Genomic DNA, 16,545 nt, shown 5'->3' on the forward strand with positions numbered 1-16,545 from the left:
CTACTCCATCTTCTTTGGTAATGAAAAATTTCTGCTCTACCACTGATGAGTCCCATGGGACTGCTAATCATTTGCCTTGCTCTGGGTAAGAAGCAGAAATGTAAACCAAGGTAGGCCAATTGAACTGTTTCCTTAAAAAGTGAATTGTGGAAAAAGGAACAAAACTGAATAGCCTTTGTTTTTGTTTGCATTCCGTTGGCTACATTAGGGGAAAATGTCAGGCAGCAACTGCTATTTCAACTCTTTGGAGCTGCCTAGTTCCTGAGTGTGCCAAGCCTGGTTCTTTAGTTTTTGCATTCCCTTCTATATGCAGCTATATATTCGTCCAATAAATTTGTTTTGCTTATATTAGTTAGAGTCCATTTCTAGCATTCAGTCAGTCAAATTAATATTCCTCTTTCTTTCTTGACTTTTATGACTGTTTCCTTGTTCTCTCCGAACTTGTCTGATCACTACAGGCTCCTACTATACCAGACTCCATTTCTTCTCTGTTCCATAGCTATCTATTCTTAGCTGCCTTTTTTCTCTATATTTTCTATTTCATTCATAGTTGTGGTTTTGACTCTCATCTTTATACTAAATTCACAACTCATGTATATTTTTAAATTTACTTTTATTTCAATAAGTTTGCAGGGAGCAGGTGGTGTTTGGTTGCATGAATAAGTTCTTTAGTGGTGATTTCTGAGATTTTGGTGCATCCATCACCCGAGCAGTGTACACTGTACGAAATGTGTAGTGTTTTTTTGTTTTGTTTTGTTTTTGTTTTTTTGAGACGGAGTCTCACTCTGTTGCCAGGCTGGAATGCTGTGGCACGATCTTGGCTCACTGAAACCTCCGACTCCCTGGTTCAAGCTATTCTCCTGCTTCAGCTTCCTGAGTAGCTGGGATTACAGGCACATGCCACCACGCCCGGCCAATTTTTGTATTTTTAGTAGAGATGGAGTTTCACTATGTTGGCCAGGATGGTCTTGATCTCCTGACCTCGTGATCCGCCCACCTTGGCCTCCCAAAGTGCTGGGATGACAGGCATGAGCCACCATGCCCAGCCCCCAATGTGTAGTCTTTTATCCCTCACCCTCTCCCACCCTTTCCCCCTACTCCCCAAAGTCCAATGTATCATTCTTATGCATTTGTGTCCTCATGGCTTAGCTCCCACTTATGAGTGAGAACAAATGATGTTTGGTTTTCTATTCCTGAGTTACTTCACTTGGAATAATAGTCTCCAATTCCATCCAGGTTGCTGCAAATGCCATTATTTCATTCCTTTTTATGGCTGAGTAGTATTTCATGGTATATATATCCCACATTTTCTTTATCCACTTGTTGATTGATGCGCTTCTGGGGTGATTCCATAGTTTTGCAATTGTAAATTGTGCTGCTATAAACATGCAAGTGCAAGTATCTTTTTCATATAATTATTTCTTTTCCTCTGGGTAGATACCTAGTAGTGGAATTGTTGGATCAAACAGTAGATCTACTTTTAGTTCTTGAAGGAATCTCCACACTGTTTTCCATAGTGGTTGTTTTAGTTTACATTCCCACCAATAGTGTAAAAGTGTTCCCTTTCACCATATCCATGCCAACATCTATTTCTTTTTATTTTTTGATTATGGCCATTCTTGCAGGAGGGGTAAGGTGGTATTGCATTGTGGTTTTGATTTGCATTTCCCTGGTAATTAGTGATGTTGAGCATTTTTACATATGCTTGTTGGCCATTTGTATATATTCTTTTGAGAATTGTCTATTCACGTCCTTTGCCCACTTTTTGATGGGGTTGTTTTTTCTTTCTGATTTGTTAGAATTCTTCATAGATTCTGGGTATTAGTCCTTTGTTGGATGTATAGATTGTGAAGACTTTGTCTGTTAACTATGCCGATTATTTCTTTTGCTGAGCCAACTGAATTATACAACCCCTTTTAAAAAAATCCTTTTTACTAACCTTATTATGACTTACATAGAACATTTACAACATGCTTAGACTTTCTGTTTTGTCCTAAATATCCCTTTTTCTTGAACAACCCATTTTATTGTAGGACAAAAATTTACCAAACAGGATTCTTTCTAGTATAAAATGACTTTCCTTTTTACCTTTCTATCAAAAGCACCTCTCTATATTTTTAACCTTTTTACATTTCTTATTTTTTGGTTCCTTTTATCTTGTTTTATACATAACCCTTAAATAAGCTTTCAGTTAGACAAATACATTTACCTTTTCATAAGAACATTAAAAATTTTTTTCCTATAATTTTTAATTGGAAATTACCCAGATACTTAATATTTATTAATAACATTAGATCCTAAATTATATAACATGTTTGTTTACAGGCATTTGTTTATTCCATTACATTTACCTGATCGATTGATTTATTAAATAATTTACCTAGATTATTTACAAAAACTGTGATAGTCATTCTTTATTTCCCTGTTAACTATTTTTATAGCTGTGAATTTTAGGTGCTTACTTAAGTAAGAAACTTAAGGTTAAATATAAGGGTATTTTTACCAATAACTTGGGATTTAGCTGTTTTCATTAAACCAAGAATATTCCATGTCTTACTTGTCGAAAATTATACAAGCAAAGATCATTTTGTCTTGAGCTGGATTTTATAGTTTTATAACCCTTATGGCTTATAGTATTCTGCCAAAGTAAGCACAAAACCACTTGATCAAAAATGCTATAGTTTTATAACCCTTATGGCTTATAGAATTCTGCAGGAGTGAGCACAAAACCAGTAGATCAAAAATGCTAACAATTTTTAAGACATCTCTAATATTATTTTACCAATAATTTTAAAGCCAGATTATTTTATTAAAAATTTTACTTAAATCACATTAACTTGAAAAAGCATTTGACTAGTCTTTTCTTTTGATTATCCGATTTAAGTGCTTTTATATTTTAGCCAATTAGCTAGAGCTGTTTTATATATTTTTAGTACTGAAACATTGTGTACACAACACAAATACATAGACATATTTGTGCATGCTAATAGAAATACATCTTATAGATTCATAAGACCTTTTTTCTTTTTTTTTTTTTTTCCTATCTTAGGCTTTTAAATTCTTGATAACCTGTTTCACTATTCAGGCAGTTGTCAGCTAAGTGGCCTTAAATTTGCATATTAAAGGAAACAACTCTTAGGGGAAAATCAGATAGCAAAATTTACATCTCAAGGTACTGAGAGAGAAAGTCTGGTGTGCTAGAGGGAAGTTAAAACAGATTTAATTGCCAATTAAACAAAAAATTATAGAAATTATAAGGACCTTTTAAATACACACACATACACACACACACACACACACACACACACACACACACACACACACAAAGACCCTATAGCTTTTACTTCAGAACTTTAGCCATGAGATAAATACAAATTCCTTGGGTTGCCAAAAAAAAAAAAAAAAAAAAACACCTCTTAGACCCAAACAGTGTTTATCTCAGTGGAAAAGTAACAGCAGATTTAAAGTAGGAAAAAACGAAAATAGAAAAAAAAGAGAACTTAGGAACTCTGTCGTTTGCAGGTCGATCTTAAGGCTTTTTTTCCTTAATGTAAATGTGCACAAAGACCATATTACTTCCATTTTACACAAACTCTGGCAAGTAGAGGCACCACAAAACCTAGAGTGCTTGAAGGGAGGCTATTCTCCTTGTTTTCTCCTCATTCTTAGATTATTTGTTTCCCACACTTTTTATTTTATTTTATTTTAAAGGAGGAATTGAGCTGTGGCCTAGGGCTTTTGTGGAGTGGATTGAAGTGTTTGCTGCTTGCGAGCAGGACTCTACAGTGAGTCGTTGCCACTGTCTTATGTGTCTCAGTTTTTCTCTCTGGAGATCTAAGCCCCTCCAGATGGGCTCAAAGTATGGAGTGATCAGCTCCTATATGTGCTTCCTGGACAAGCCTTTTTAAAACTAATTTTGTTGGGGGTTCCCTGTAGGGCTGCCGCACCCCAGACACTCCCATGAGGCCCCTGGCCACCCAGGGGTGCTTTTCAGGTGGGAGGAGCAAATACCCTTTCTCTTTGGAGCTGAAGAAACGCAGTCTCTCATTTACCTATGAAAACAACAATTCAGTTCCTCACTCAAATGTGCACCAGGCCAAATTGAGATTAATTTTGGGAGAAAAGCAATGGAGAAGACTCTTTGAATGCTAGAATTAAATTAGGATCGGAGCTAGAATTAGGATCCTTAAACAGCAACTTCCTAGGAGAAAAAAAAACCAGCTCAGAATAGATCAAGGACCCTCAACCAAAGGGAGGTGCGGGCTCAGGAGGACACATGAGCTCCACCAGAGGAGAAGCTCAAAGTCAGGGAGGCTTCAGTGGGCCCCTGCTGGTACCTTAGCACTGAGTTTGGGCAACTCCTGTGGGGTCCTGAGTCTTCTCTGAGGCCCAACATGTTTGGGTGCCAAAATATTGTTAACAAAAAGTCAAACTGTACAATATTTTGAAGAGATTTATTCTGAGCCAAATATGAGTGACCATGGCCCATGACACAGCCCTCAGGAGGCCCTGAGAACATATGACCCACAACTCATGTATTTATCTAACTTTATATTTTCCTGCTGTTCATCATCCCCATATAGAAGTCCCACTACCAACTCGAACTCAGTATGACCCAAGTTACACGTCTCTCACTAATTTAAAAAACAGTTTTTTTCCCTTTTATTCCTGATCTCATTATCCACTCACTCAGGATAGAAAATTGATTGAGAGCTCTAAGTTTTTCTTTTCACTATATTGGGCATCTGCCGTTTTTGTCTACTCCATATGATGGTTTCTTCTAGAAAATTATACTTATCTCATTTCATGTCAACCATGGGGTCCTCTCTTCATAGGAATGTGAATGTTACCCATACAGAACCAATATGTGTAATATACAGGTTGGATCCCTAATCCAAAAATCAAAAATGCTCCAAAAGCCAAACTTTTTGAGCACCAACATGATGCCATGAGTGGAAAATCCCATACCTGACCTCATGTGACAGGTTGAAGTCAAAATGCAGTTAAAAACTTTGTTTCATGCACAAAATGATTTAAAATATTGTGTAAAATTACCTTCAGGATGTGTATAAGGAATACATGAAATGTAAATGAATTTTGTGTTTGCACTTGGATCCCATCCTCAAGATGTCTCATTATGTATATGCAAATAATCCAGAATCCAAAATCTGGAAACATTTTTGGTCTTAAGCATTTTGGATAAGGGATATTCACTTAACTTTATACTACACAGATGCTGGGAAAGAAAAGGCATTATTGTTTAGATTGTTAAGATGGGAGGATGTAAACTTGTCATGTGGAGAGAGCCTGTTTGGCAGAATACAGTCAAATATATGAACAGAATAAGGATTAATATGTAGAGATATCCATCCTTGGATCTATCTAATCCTAAAACCATGTCCAACCTAAATTTTCTAGTTCTGTGACCTAGTAAGTTCTGCTTATTTTTTCTTATGCTAGTTTGAATTGGGCTTCTATCACTTGTATTATGCTAAGGAGTCTTAACACTTAACAAATTCTATAGATCTTAACATTCAAGTATCTGACATGGATCCTTTCTTTTTTCTTCCACTGATATACTGTTGAATGATTTCCTGTCATTCTTCTACTACAATAGTCATCTTGCTGCCAATCTATTGTTTCTCCAACATATCCATCACATTACTATTAAAGATACCTTATTAATAAAATGTGGGATTATATTACTTCTCTCTTTAAATATCTTCAAGTTCTCTATTGCATAATAAACAAGCCTATATTTCTTAAGTGGCATTTAAGGTTTCCCCAAATAAATACAATCTGATCTGAACCTACTATTTATTCATTTATTCACTCATTCAGCAAATATTTATTGAGTACCTACTATATACGAGGCATAATGCTAGATATAGCAGATACAGTGATGACAAAATCAAAATTCCTCCATACATAGCTTACATTCCAGTGGGAAAGTCGCAACTCTTACTACATCTTTCCATAACATCGGGTCTAGTATGACCTGGGGATAATTTCCATGGAAACCTCTGCTCAAGCTGTTCTTAGTTCTCAATGATCTTCCCCATCTGTCAAACATCAAAATTCAATGCTAAATTATCTATGATTTAATGGCACTTACTTTTATGTTTCCTGAGTAGTTGTTTACATTTATGCTATAGTACAAATTTATCTTATATAATTACTGATTTATTTATTCATCTTGCCTTACACAAAAACTTCTTGAGGACAAGGAATTGATTTTGTTCATTTTTGTCCCTTTCATAATACTTTGCATATAATACAAACTCATTATTATTCTATTTGTTGTAATCAAATTTGTTGAATGATTTTGTTGAAACATAAACATGAGGAAATAGAATGTTATTGAGGACTGGGGGACACAGTTATAGTTACTGAGTGCCTATCACATAACAAAAGTTATCCTAGGTGTTTTTCATAGACTATATGATTTAATTCATATAACTTCACACCACAGGAAACTAAGTCAAGGGAAATGAAATAATTTAGATATTTCGTAGATATTTCGTCGTAGATACTGGCCAAACCAGAACATGAACCCAGATATTTCTGACTAAAATGCTCAAAGCTTTTCTACTTCACTACATAACATTCTATTTTGTCACTATCAATCCTATAAATGTATTAATAATTTTAATTTTGTGGACCAGATTTTCCCCTTTTCACCTTGATCAAAGATAATGTGATTATAAAGGCTGAGATTTTGTGAAAGCTTTTGTGCCATGTTTGATTTCAAAAATCAGCAAACATTTTGTAAATTTGGGTGTTATTTTTGTCTTACAGGTACATGTCAAAAAATGCATAACACTGAAATAACAGAGATTTAGGCATAGTTTTGATAAATACACTAGTATAATTAGAATATCCCAAACATAAACTTTTCTGAAAGAGAGAATTTCATATTAAGAAAAAAAGTTGGTTTTGTGGCCCCTCGTCCTACTATATATATATATATATATATATATATATATATTTTTTTTTTTTTTTTCCTTAAAGCTTTCAGTTTGTATCCCAGTCCCTCTGTGAAACACAGAAGCTATAATTCCACTTTGGCACTAGGTCATTTTTGTTAATATTTTGGTTACTCAACCAGAGTCAATTGTTTTAGTTTCCCTATCTGTAAAGGAATATCCAAAAAGATGAATACTGAAACTCAGATAAAAAAAAATTCATCATTGAACAAAAGGATTAGAATTACGCCCAACAAGAAAACTTTGTACTGTATTAGAATGATTTAAAACAATTATCATATTTGTAATTTATTGGCCATAAAATTACTTCCTCATTTTGGAAATATTACTTTGCTGTTTGCCTGGTATTTAATGTGGTATCTTTTGGTTTGGTATATACCATACAATAATAAAATATTAGACAACATGGATGATTAATTATCATTCAAAAAAATTGTAATTCTATGATGGTTAAATTCTCACTTGCATTTATTTCATGTAAAATATGATATAAAAACAAAATTAGCTTACCCCTGCTCTGGTTTAAGGAAGATTATACTTTAAAAGTATAGTTTGCTAAATAGTTTTTAACTAGTTAACATCCACGATCATTTATTTGTAATTACATACAAGTTGTTTTTCATTATTGGTCACTCTAAGATAAACAAGTACTTCTGACATACATTGTTTTGAGGGTGCTTTACTTTAAAAGGACTTGGAATCAAGTTGGCAATATAAGTAGAAACTACAAAATAAATTCGAATAAAAATTTACTAACTTTCTCCCCTTTTCTCACTCCTGAGTAAAGAGGTGGCTCTAGACAGAAGAGTGCCAAGGTTCTTTGTTCATAAACCTTAGTTTTCTTATCTGCAGAATACGGATTTAAAAACCTAATCTTAATGAGGATTAGATTATGTTTGTTTCAGAGTGAGAGCATATAATCTAGAGCTCTGCCTCTTACCACTTGAGTGACCTTGGCCAACTTACTTCACTTCTTTGAACCTTTGTTCTACTCATTTGTAAAATGGGGCTAACATAGTTATCTGGCTTATGTAGGTTTGCAGCTACCACTGGTATAATTTTCCCTTTTACACAGCGCTACATGTTCTCAGATTAGCAAAAATATTATATGGAAGGGGACTCAAAATCTTTTCTCTGAATGAGTCCCTTCTTACTGCATCTGCTTTCCTAGGGAAACAAAATTACACAGTTCCATCTCTGTTTGTGTCTAGGGTACAGCAGTCATTCGTGGCAAAGGATAGAAATTGCCCCATGAAACCTCCAATTATTCATGAATAACTGGACAGTTGAAATTTCTGCCCCCTCCAGAATGTTAAAAAACCAGTTCATAAAACATAGTCTTCTAGATGCTACATAAACAATGAATTCCTATAGAAAACTCTTCTAATAATGAAAAACAACTTGTTTGTAATTACAAATAAATGATTGTGCATGTTAACTAATTAAAAACTATTTACCAAACTATACTTTTAAAGTATAATCTTCCTTAAAGCAGAGCAAAAGCAAGCTAATATAAGAAGCAGAAAAAAGTGGTATACAGAAAAAAGAAAAATAGCAAGAAATTTAAATTGCTGATCACTTTTTCTCTATCATTAACAACTTATTTCCTTAACCAATAATAAAGTTAAATTGAGAAAGAAGGGGAGACAATTTGTAAAGCTGATTTTTTGCTTTACTTATTAGTTTTTCAGGTATAGTTATATTGTATCCATTTTCGTAATAGCTCTCAATTGTCTCCTTTGTAAATTAATGATTTACTAAGTAGATGGCTGCCCTCTTATTAGAGACCTAGAATTCAAAATTATGTTAAAGTGCCAAATTATGCACACAACCACTTTTATTATTAAAGAGGATTTATTTAAAAAGGTATACATTTAAAACTCATCCCAATGACAGTAGTATGAATATTCTGATACCAGAAAGATTCCCTCTAGAATACATAATATCAAAAGTTGTCTTTAATTTGGTATATATGTGGTTCAGTGCTATTCATTGAACTTTCTATGTATGTGGGGCAAAATATTACATCCACAACACAGAACCAAACGTGGTGATGACACTGTTGTGACACTGTTGCATGCTGACACAAAACCTCACAGCATCTAGTCCAAATCTTTGCTTCACTATTTTTATTTTATTTGAATTAACTGAAACCCAGAAAACAATATAATACATTTCCTTGGGACGTATACTCACTATGCGTCTATCTCTTCAACTCAATGGGATTTCAAATGGAGAGAAAGCAATTTACCACAACATCCACAAGTTTTTGTCAACATTATAGACAAAGGATCAGACTTTGGAGCCCAATTGCCAGGGTTCAAATCCTGCTTCCACCAGATAATAGCTGTGTAACCTTGGGTAAGTCACTTCTTTGTGCCTTAATTTGCTCCTAAAATGATGACAGTAAAACCACATCTCTCATAGGGTTCTTATGAGGAGCAAATGAGTTACTGCTTGTATAGAAGTTGTAATGCAGTATACATTACTAATAGAATTGGCAATAATAGGAAGTGTACTAAGAATCTTTTTATCGCTCCATCTTTTGTCAGTAATGAAAAATTTTTTAAAAGTCTGAGAAATTTCAAGTCAACAGGTATTCATAAAACACCTACTATGCCTGGTGCCTTGGGAACATAGAATAAATTGGGAAGTTACAGTCTATTTTGAATTTGGAATAAATGGAAAACACAGAGCAAAGTTCAATGGAACATGCAACAACAAAAATGCTAGAGTGCCACATAATTTACCTAAGTAAAGCTAACAGCAAAATCAAGTACTCTAAGATTTATATTAATAAAAACGCAACTAACAATTGGTAATGTATTTATTTTCAGATCTACACAGAAGTTGCTAAATACAATGCTGTACATCAACAGAAGTTCTGCAGAAATAGTAAAATTTTCCTTTATCTCCACCTGGGAAGTCTGAAAACATCATAGGGCTTGTGACTGGGGCCTAATAACCCCGAGGACAACGTGGTGGGCTGAGCGAATACCTCAATGTGCGAGAGAACGAAAAGCTCGAACCACGACCGTGCCTAGGGACCAGGCTTTTCCTGTGGCCGATGCGGGGCAGATGCAGACCCAGAGGCCACCCTTGCGCGCGATCTCCAACCCGACGGTGCGGCTCCTCTCGGACCTGGAGCTGTGGGGAGAAGGCAGCCTTTTAGTGAGGAGCCGCCGCGTGGCGGGACGCAAGGAAAACCACCCGAGCCGCTGAACAGTATTCCGCGACTGCACTCCAGGGCACCGGGACCGCCAGGGTGAGGAGGGACTCTGCGTTCTGCAAAGCTAGCGGTTCCCACTCCACCTCCCACTATCTCAGCGATGGGCACGCGAGCGCCAGCCCGGGCGACCGCGGGGGAAGAAGCGGTCCACGCCACCTCAGGCCCCCGCCCCAGGCTCTGCCAGCTGGGGGTCCACCGCCCGCCCCCGGGGTCCCGGGCCTGCGCGTCACTTCCGGCGCGCGCGCCCGCCTGCGAAGATACAGTCGGGCCAGGGCCTGGCCTGGGCGCGCGGCTGCCCGGGGGCGCGCAGAGAGGGCGGACCGCGCGAAGGGGGAGTGTCTGCCCGCCGCCGCCACTGCTGCTGCCACCGCCGTCGCCGCCGCCGCCGCCGCCGCCGCTGCTGCTGCCGGTGCTAAGGAGTTCGCTGGAGCCCTTTCCTCAGACCCGGCCCGGTCTTCGCGCCCGGACTCCTGGCGCCAGCGCTAGGCGCACTCACCGCTCTGACGGGTGCAGACGCGGGAGTTGTCCCAGACTGTGGAGTGGCGGGCACGGCCCCAGCCCCCCTTCCCTTCCCTGACCCCTTCTTGCCATCGCCCCAGACATGGGGAACGCGGCGACCGCCAAGAAAGGCAGCGAGGTGGAGAGCGGTGAGTTGAAGGCCGGGTCTGGGTATCCGCTGGGCGGGCCGGCGCGGGGCACCGAGCGCCCTCCGGGTCGCAGCTTCTGAGGCCGCGGGCACGGGCCAGGCCTAGCAGCGGCCGCCGGGAGTCGTTCTGGGGGGCCGGGAGACCAGCTGCCTTTCTCCTCCATTCCGACCCCCCAGCTCCGCGTTGAGAGCTGAACGCGAAGGGCCGGATGTGGGGATCCTGGGAAGAGCGTTCCCTGGGATTCCCTTTCTCACTCTAGCGAGGAGGACTTGCACACGTTCTGGAACACTTCCCCAAATATGGTCCGAGGAAAGAAGTCCCTAGTGCCATCCCACCCCTGCTTTCCCCCCTCGCCGACTCTTTGGGAGCTACAGGTAGTGCTGTGGGTAAGGTTGGCTCTTCTCCCTCCATCACTTGGGTCCGACCCAACCTTATCACAAGGCGGGGGCTGCTAGTCTGGCTCTACGCAAGTGAGGCTAATCCTGAGTGGACAACCCTGCCTTAGAGATCCTTCATCTCTTCAGATTAGGAATGGAAAACATAATGAGACCCAACAGCAACTTTATCCATTAGAGAAAAAAGCCAGGCAGGTTTGCCTTTTCTCTAGACATTCAAGGATCTGCTACCAATGCCTGTAAAACTTAAAGGTCATTCGGAGTTGAAGTGCTTCCAGAACACGGTTAATTTCTTCTGAGAGCGGAAGGTGCGGGTACTCCACACTTTACATCAAACAGTAAAAAATCATGAAAATGGAATTTCTGTATGGCGATAAGGTGTGTGTGTGTCTGTGTGTTTGTGTGTGCATGTATACACATGCATATATATGTGTGTATATATGTGTCAGAATGGTTGTGAAATAAAAGTTGGTTTGCCTTTGTAAAGTTCATATATTTTTATAATTCAGAATGTCCAAATAACAGATGGTATTTGTTATATCACCAGGAGTGAATGACATGTTAGCACTTAAAGTGGGCCTGGTGATTTTAGTTTGTGTAAATATTACTTGTAATGTTTTCATGGTTGTAACATAAGAATTAGGCTAATTTTATAACTTTGCATGAAGAAAATAGCTTTTTTCTGTATTAATAAAGTAGAATTCATTTAGAAGGATTTAGTCATTCATTTTGTTTAACATAAATATATCAGATTATGTGGTTTATGTTTCATCAGTAAGGTTTTGGTATTCATTTTCAGGAGCTTCAGAAAAGTTTGATGAGCTATTATATAAGCCAAGAACACACAGCATGTTATACGGAGATTTAAAGAAGCCAATGTAGAGGTAGAATGTATGTTATTTTATTATTATTTTTTGAGATGGAGTTTCGTTCTTGTCGCCCAGGCTGGAGTGCAATGGTGCAATCTTGGCTCACTGCAACCTCTGCCTCCCAGGTTCAAGGGATTCTCCTGCCTCAGCCTCCTGAGTAGCTGGGATTACAGGTGCCCACCACCACACCCGGCTAATTTTTGTATTTTTAGTAGAGACAGAGTTTCACCATGTTGGTCAGGCTGGTCTCGAACTCCTGACCTCAGGTAATCCACCCACCTCGGCCTCCCAAAGTGCTGGGATTACAGGCGTGAGCTACCGTGCGTGACCTATGTTGTCTTTTTAAAATTGCACAAATATAGTAACTAACTGTGCAGGAAGTATAAAGAATGCAAAAAGTATAAAGAATTATTTTTACCTGATATGTTGTCATTTTTTGTGTTAATTTAAAGCTCTATTAACTTAAAACATGCTAATTGTGTTACAAAAGAGTGTGCTTGGAGAATGATTATATTAGTAGTTTTCATTAGCAAGTGCTGACCTGTATAATGTTTATATTTTGGATAATGATAATAGACTCTTCTGTGACCTGTATATTTTTTATTAAGTTACCAAAACAATTCTCCCTTAGTATTAATTTGCAACTCATAGCTGTGAAATAACCTTGGAATATTTACTGAAAACAGAATGGAAACTTTAAATGTTTATCTGAACATATTTAAATTATTTCTATGGATAAATTCTTTTCTATGTTTTAAGTGTTAATGACAATCTAGTTCTTAAGTATGTTAGTCAGCTTTTTGTGTAACTTTATTTATGGAAACTGAAGGTCATTATAGTAGTTTAAAAAGCTGTTGTGAAGTGACCAAAAAAAATAGCATGTTATGTGTCATAGGGAAAATTATTTGAAATGTCACGTGTTGATTAATGTTTGTAATTTCATTTGGAGCAGTGTTATCAGGTATATGTTGCTGTTCTGTAGTGAACAAAGAAATTGTATTTTAAACTTAATGAAAGAACTCATCATTACGTACCTAAATGTTCTGTGTATTTTTTAAAGAATTATTCTTGAAAATTTGTTTTTCAAAACTTTTAGAAATATATGATGTTAGAGATCAGCCTGTACAATCATTCCCTTTCAAAGATCCTGACCTCCGAAGAAGCTGGAGTTGAGATCATACTGTTAGTAATAACAGAGTAAGGAATAGAGTCTGATGCCTGGACTCCATTCAGCATCAATAAATAATCAGTTAATATGTTTATTTTCAAAATATTCACCAAATGTTTTAGTTTCAATTAAAGACTATAAGTAAAAGCTGAAAAATGTTACTGTCTAATGGGAAAGAAAATATGTATATATAAGAGTTACCTGAAAGGCAAAAATACAAGTGCTAACATTATGGAAAGTGGAATTAGAACTCTGAAAATTGCTGTATGAAAATGTTTGATTTGAAAAGTTGATTAAAAATATCAAGTCAGTTAAGATTTCAGGTTCAGTTAGCACCAAGCTTCAGAAAGGCAGGTGATTCCAGAGCTTATTTCTAAAAATATTCCAGAAGAATGAAGTTAGGCATAAAGATAATTTAGAAGGGTCTTGGTTAACTTTAACTATCTGGTGCCTGTATTGTACTCTACTGAACCTTTTCCCTCTATTAGAATTAACATTTTCTGGGGTAAGACCTAAAAGCTAGGTGAGATTCCATCTTCATCTCCACAGGTTTTGGAGATAACATTAACTTAGGTACCTGTTGTTCTGCTGTAGTGAATTAGGAAATTGTATTGATGTATCTCAAAACTTAATGAAAGAATAACTGGTACTATTACATACCTAACTGCTCTGTGTGTGTTTTTAAAATTACTCTTGAAGATATATTCCTTTTAAAATTTGGGCGTAGTTATTTAAACGTCAGCTAATACAGAGAAACATAAACTTTTAGAAATATGATAAAATTCTCAGAGAAGTTTTAAACTCTTGTCAGTTAAGTTTGTTTTACTTATCCAGTCTCTTCCTTTTACACCAGCCCCAGTCACCAACACACCAAAAAAACACGCTACTTCTTTTAACCTGGGAGGGGTTTTTATTTATTTCATTTTAAAAAAATACTATACCTCCAGGTTGCCTATGGGGCTTTGTGTTATACATTCATTGCAAAAATGTTGAGGCCCATGGGTGAAAAGTGTTGGTAGAGGTTTGAATGTAGATTCTTTCATGACTGCAAGTCGTAAAGTTACCATGTGACCTAGTGTTCGCATATGATCTTTGAATGTTTTCCAGAGTATCTCTCTGTCCTGTGGATTTGAAAGTCAGTAGGAATTAATCAAAGAAAGCCACCAGTAGACTAGGTTCAACAAAAATGCAAGTTTCTTAACAACTAACATTTTTTGAGGACTAATACGTGCCAGGTTCTCTAATGCTTTCCGTGTATAAACTTTTACTTACTCTTTTAAACTGTAAAGCACTTGAGTTATTCCTTCATTTATGGATGAGGAAATGAAGGCTCAGAGAGCCTAAGTGACTTGCTTAAGGTTGCATAGCTAGTAAGTCAAGAAGCAACATTTAAGTTGAGGCAACTGTAACCTCAGAACCTGAAATTCTAACCACTTTGCTGAACAGCCTCTGTATCCAATAGAATAGCCGATGCTAAGACACACAGAATAGCTTAGACAATTATAGCACATTTCAGTTTTCAAACATGACTTTATTTGGTATATTAAAATCTTAAGTGAAAAAGATTATTTTTTTCTTGTACCATTCTCTGGATTTTTATCATCATTATCTTTTCAGATTCAATATAGTAGAATTTCAAATTAAACCACATAAAACTAATTTTATGTACTTAAAGCCTTAATTACTACAGTACTTATATTTATTTTTTCCCATTTGTAAATGTATACTTTTCCCTTCTTGCCCAATAGTTGATAAAAAAAATTATTATTTGAACTTGTATTACCATTTTAAAAGTATTGGCAAATTCTCATTTCACCATGATTAGAGTAGCGCTGTCCAGTCAAACATTCTGTGATAATGGAAGTGATCTCCACCTATGCTGTCCACTGTAGTAGCTACTAGCCACATGTCTGTTGAGCACTGGAAATGTGACTAGTACCACTGAGAAACTGAATCTTTAACTTACATGTGGCTAATTAGTGTTTGGTATATTGGACAACACAGGTTTAGAACATAGTTGTTTTTGCATTTAATAGAAATGCCAACCCATCTTTCTGTCATCTTGGTTATTTGTGGATCCTTACAAGTGAGTGTAGATGAACGGAATGCTGGATTTATTTTTTCTCATTTAAGAATTAACTTATTTCCTCAGAATAAGCATTTATAAACTTAGTGAGCAAATTATTATAGTTCAATAATTTGTGTTTAATTTATTAACTACAAAGTTAAATTATTTTTGGGGCTGTACTAGAAATAAAATTTTGTGATTTTTAGTAATCTCAGTGAATATCTTCTATTGAAAAATTTCTGTAGATTTAAATGCAATATAGTGATTTCTTATACCTTACTTAGGTCTTTACACCTTTCAATTATCAAAGGAAAATCAGTAGCAGATATTTGTTCCAATTCTGTAGAATGCAGAGGTACTGGGGAAGTCTTTCTTGGGTGTAAGACAAAAAAATCAAAGCAATCAGTTATGCAATTTTGATGATAAATACATATGATCTCATCGAGTTCCATGATTCTGTGATTCTGTTTGTGCAGATTGTGTACTGTATCAAATTATCTCATGTTCAGGAACCATTTTTCTTATTCTCCTCCTCTTATTCTCCTCAGTGTCCTTCACTTAGGCTGTAGACAGATTGTTGCTTTTTCATTGCCAGCAGCAGGATAATTAGAGGCATGAAAGCCAGCTTAGAAAAGTAAGCCATGGCTGAGTGACAGAAGCAGCACGTGAGAAGGTCCTAGATAAGCCAGGATAGCTATTAAGATCCTGTCAGATAATTAATAGTTGACCATAATTCATTTTGACATTCCATTAAATTAATTTTTAAAAATTAGTACAACTTATGAAGTTCTATATCTAGGTGATAAATGTTTGTATACGTGGGTGATCAAATTTCCTCAGATTAATAAATCCTAAATTCTTAGTGAATAACATTGTGTTAAATAGAAAAGTGTGAAATTTATGAAAGGTAAATATGCTTAGGTCACTATCATTTTGGGTATTTAATCTTACTTTTAAATGTATTCCTTCAAGAATGTCCTGTATAGTTCTTTGTTCATTGCTTCATTCATTCCTTTATTCAGTACACATAATTGAGCTCCTAAAATGTGACAGACTCTACACAAGACTATGGGAATAAAGATTGAATAGGACAGAGTACCTGCTCAGGGTGCCCATATTCCAGAAGGGGGAAGATAGACATGTCAGCAAACACATGAAACCTGCCACAAATCCTTTCATTAAA

At 36.8% G+C, this 16,545-nt stretch overlaps 1 protein-coding gene across 3 annotated transcripts in view, besides 4 other annotated features; it reads left to right on the plus strand.

The window, feature by feature from the left end:
• Nucleotides 10,140–10,665: an enhancer, noted in NCBI's record as "NANOG-H3K27ac-H3K4me1 hESC enhancer chr1:84543332-84543857 (GRCh37/hg19 assembly coordinates)". NCBI's record gives its function as "activates a minimal SCP1, AML or CMV promoter by ChIP-STARR-seq in naive H9 embryonic stem cells {active_cell/tissue: H9 hESC(naive)}" and the evidence as "EXISTENCE:reporter gene assay evidence [ECO:0000049][PMID:30033119]".
• Nucleotides 10,241–10,630: a silencer, noted in NCBI's record as "silent region_1014". NCBI's record gives its function as "represses an Ori minimal core promoter by ATAC-STARR-seq in GM12878 lymphoblastoid cells {active_cell/tissue: GM12878}" and the evidence as "EXISTENCE:reporter gene assay evidence [ECO:0000049][PMID:35858748]".
• The window catches only part of PRKACB (protein kinase cAMP-activated catalytic subunit beta), a 160,420-nt gene continuing 154,444 nt past the window's right edge, over nucleotides 10,570–16,545 (plus strand). For all 3 annotated transcript variants that reach the window (NM_002731.4, NM_001375576.1, NM_207578.3), the window contains exon 1: nucleotides 10,570–10,862. In NM_002731.4, the coding sequence (NP_002722.1) occupies nucleotides 10,817–10,862 (46 nt within the window). In that variant the 5' untranslated portion in view covers nucleotides 10,570–10,816. The remainder of the gene's footprint in view (nucleotides 10,863–16,545) is intronic.
• Nucleotides 10,821–10,870: an enhancer, noted in NCBI's record as "active region_1246". NCBI's record gives its function as "activates an Ori minimal core promoter by ATAC-STARR-seq in GM12878 lymphoblastoid cells {active_cell/tissue: GM12878}" and the evidence as "EXISTENCE:reporter gene assay evidence [ECO:0000049][PMID:35858748]".
• Nucleotides 10,931–11,010: a silencer, noted in NCBI's record as "silent region_1015". NCBI's record gives its function as "represses an Ori minimal core promoter by ATAC-STARR-seq in GM12878 lymphoblastoid cells {active_cell/tissue: GM12878}" and the evidence as "EXISTENCE:reporter gene assay evidence [ECO:0000049][PMID:35858748]".

The sequence above is a fragment of the Homo sapiens genome, chromosome 1, assembly GCF_000001405.40.
Source record: "Homo sapiens chromosome 1, GRCh38.p14 Primary Assembly".
Taxonomy (NCBI): Eukaryota; Metazoa; Chordata; class Mammalia; order Primates; family Hominidae; genus Homo; species Homo sapiens.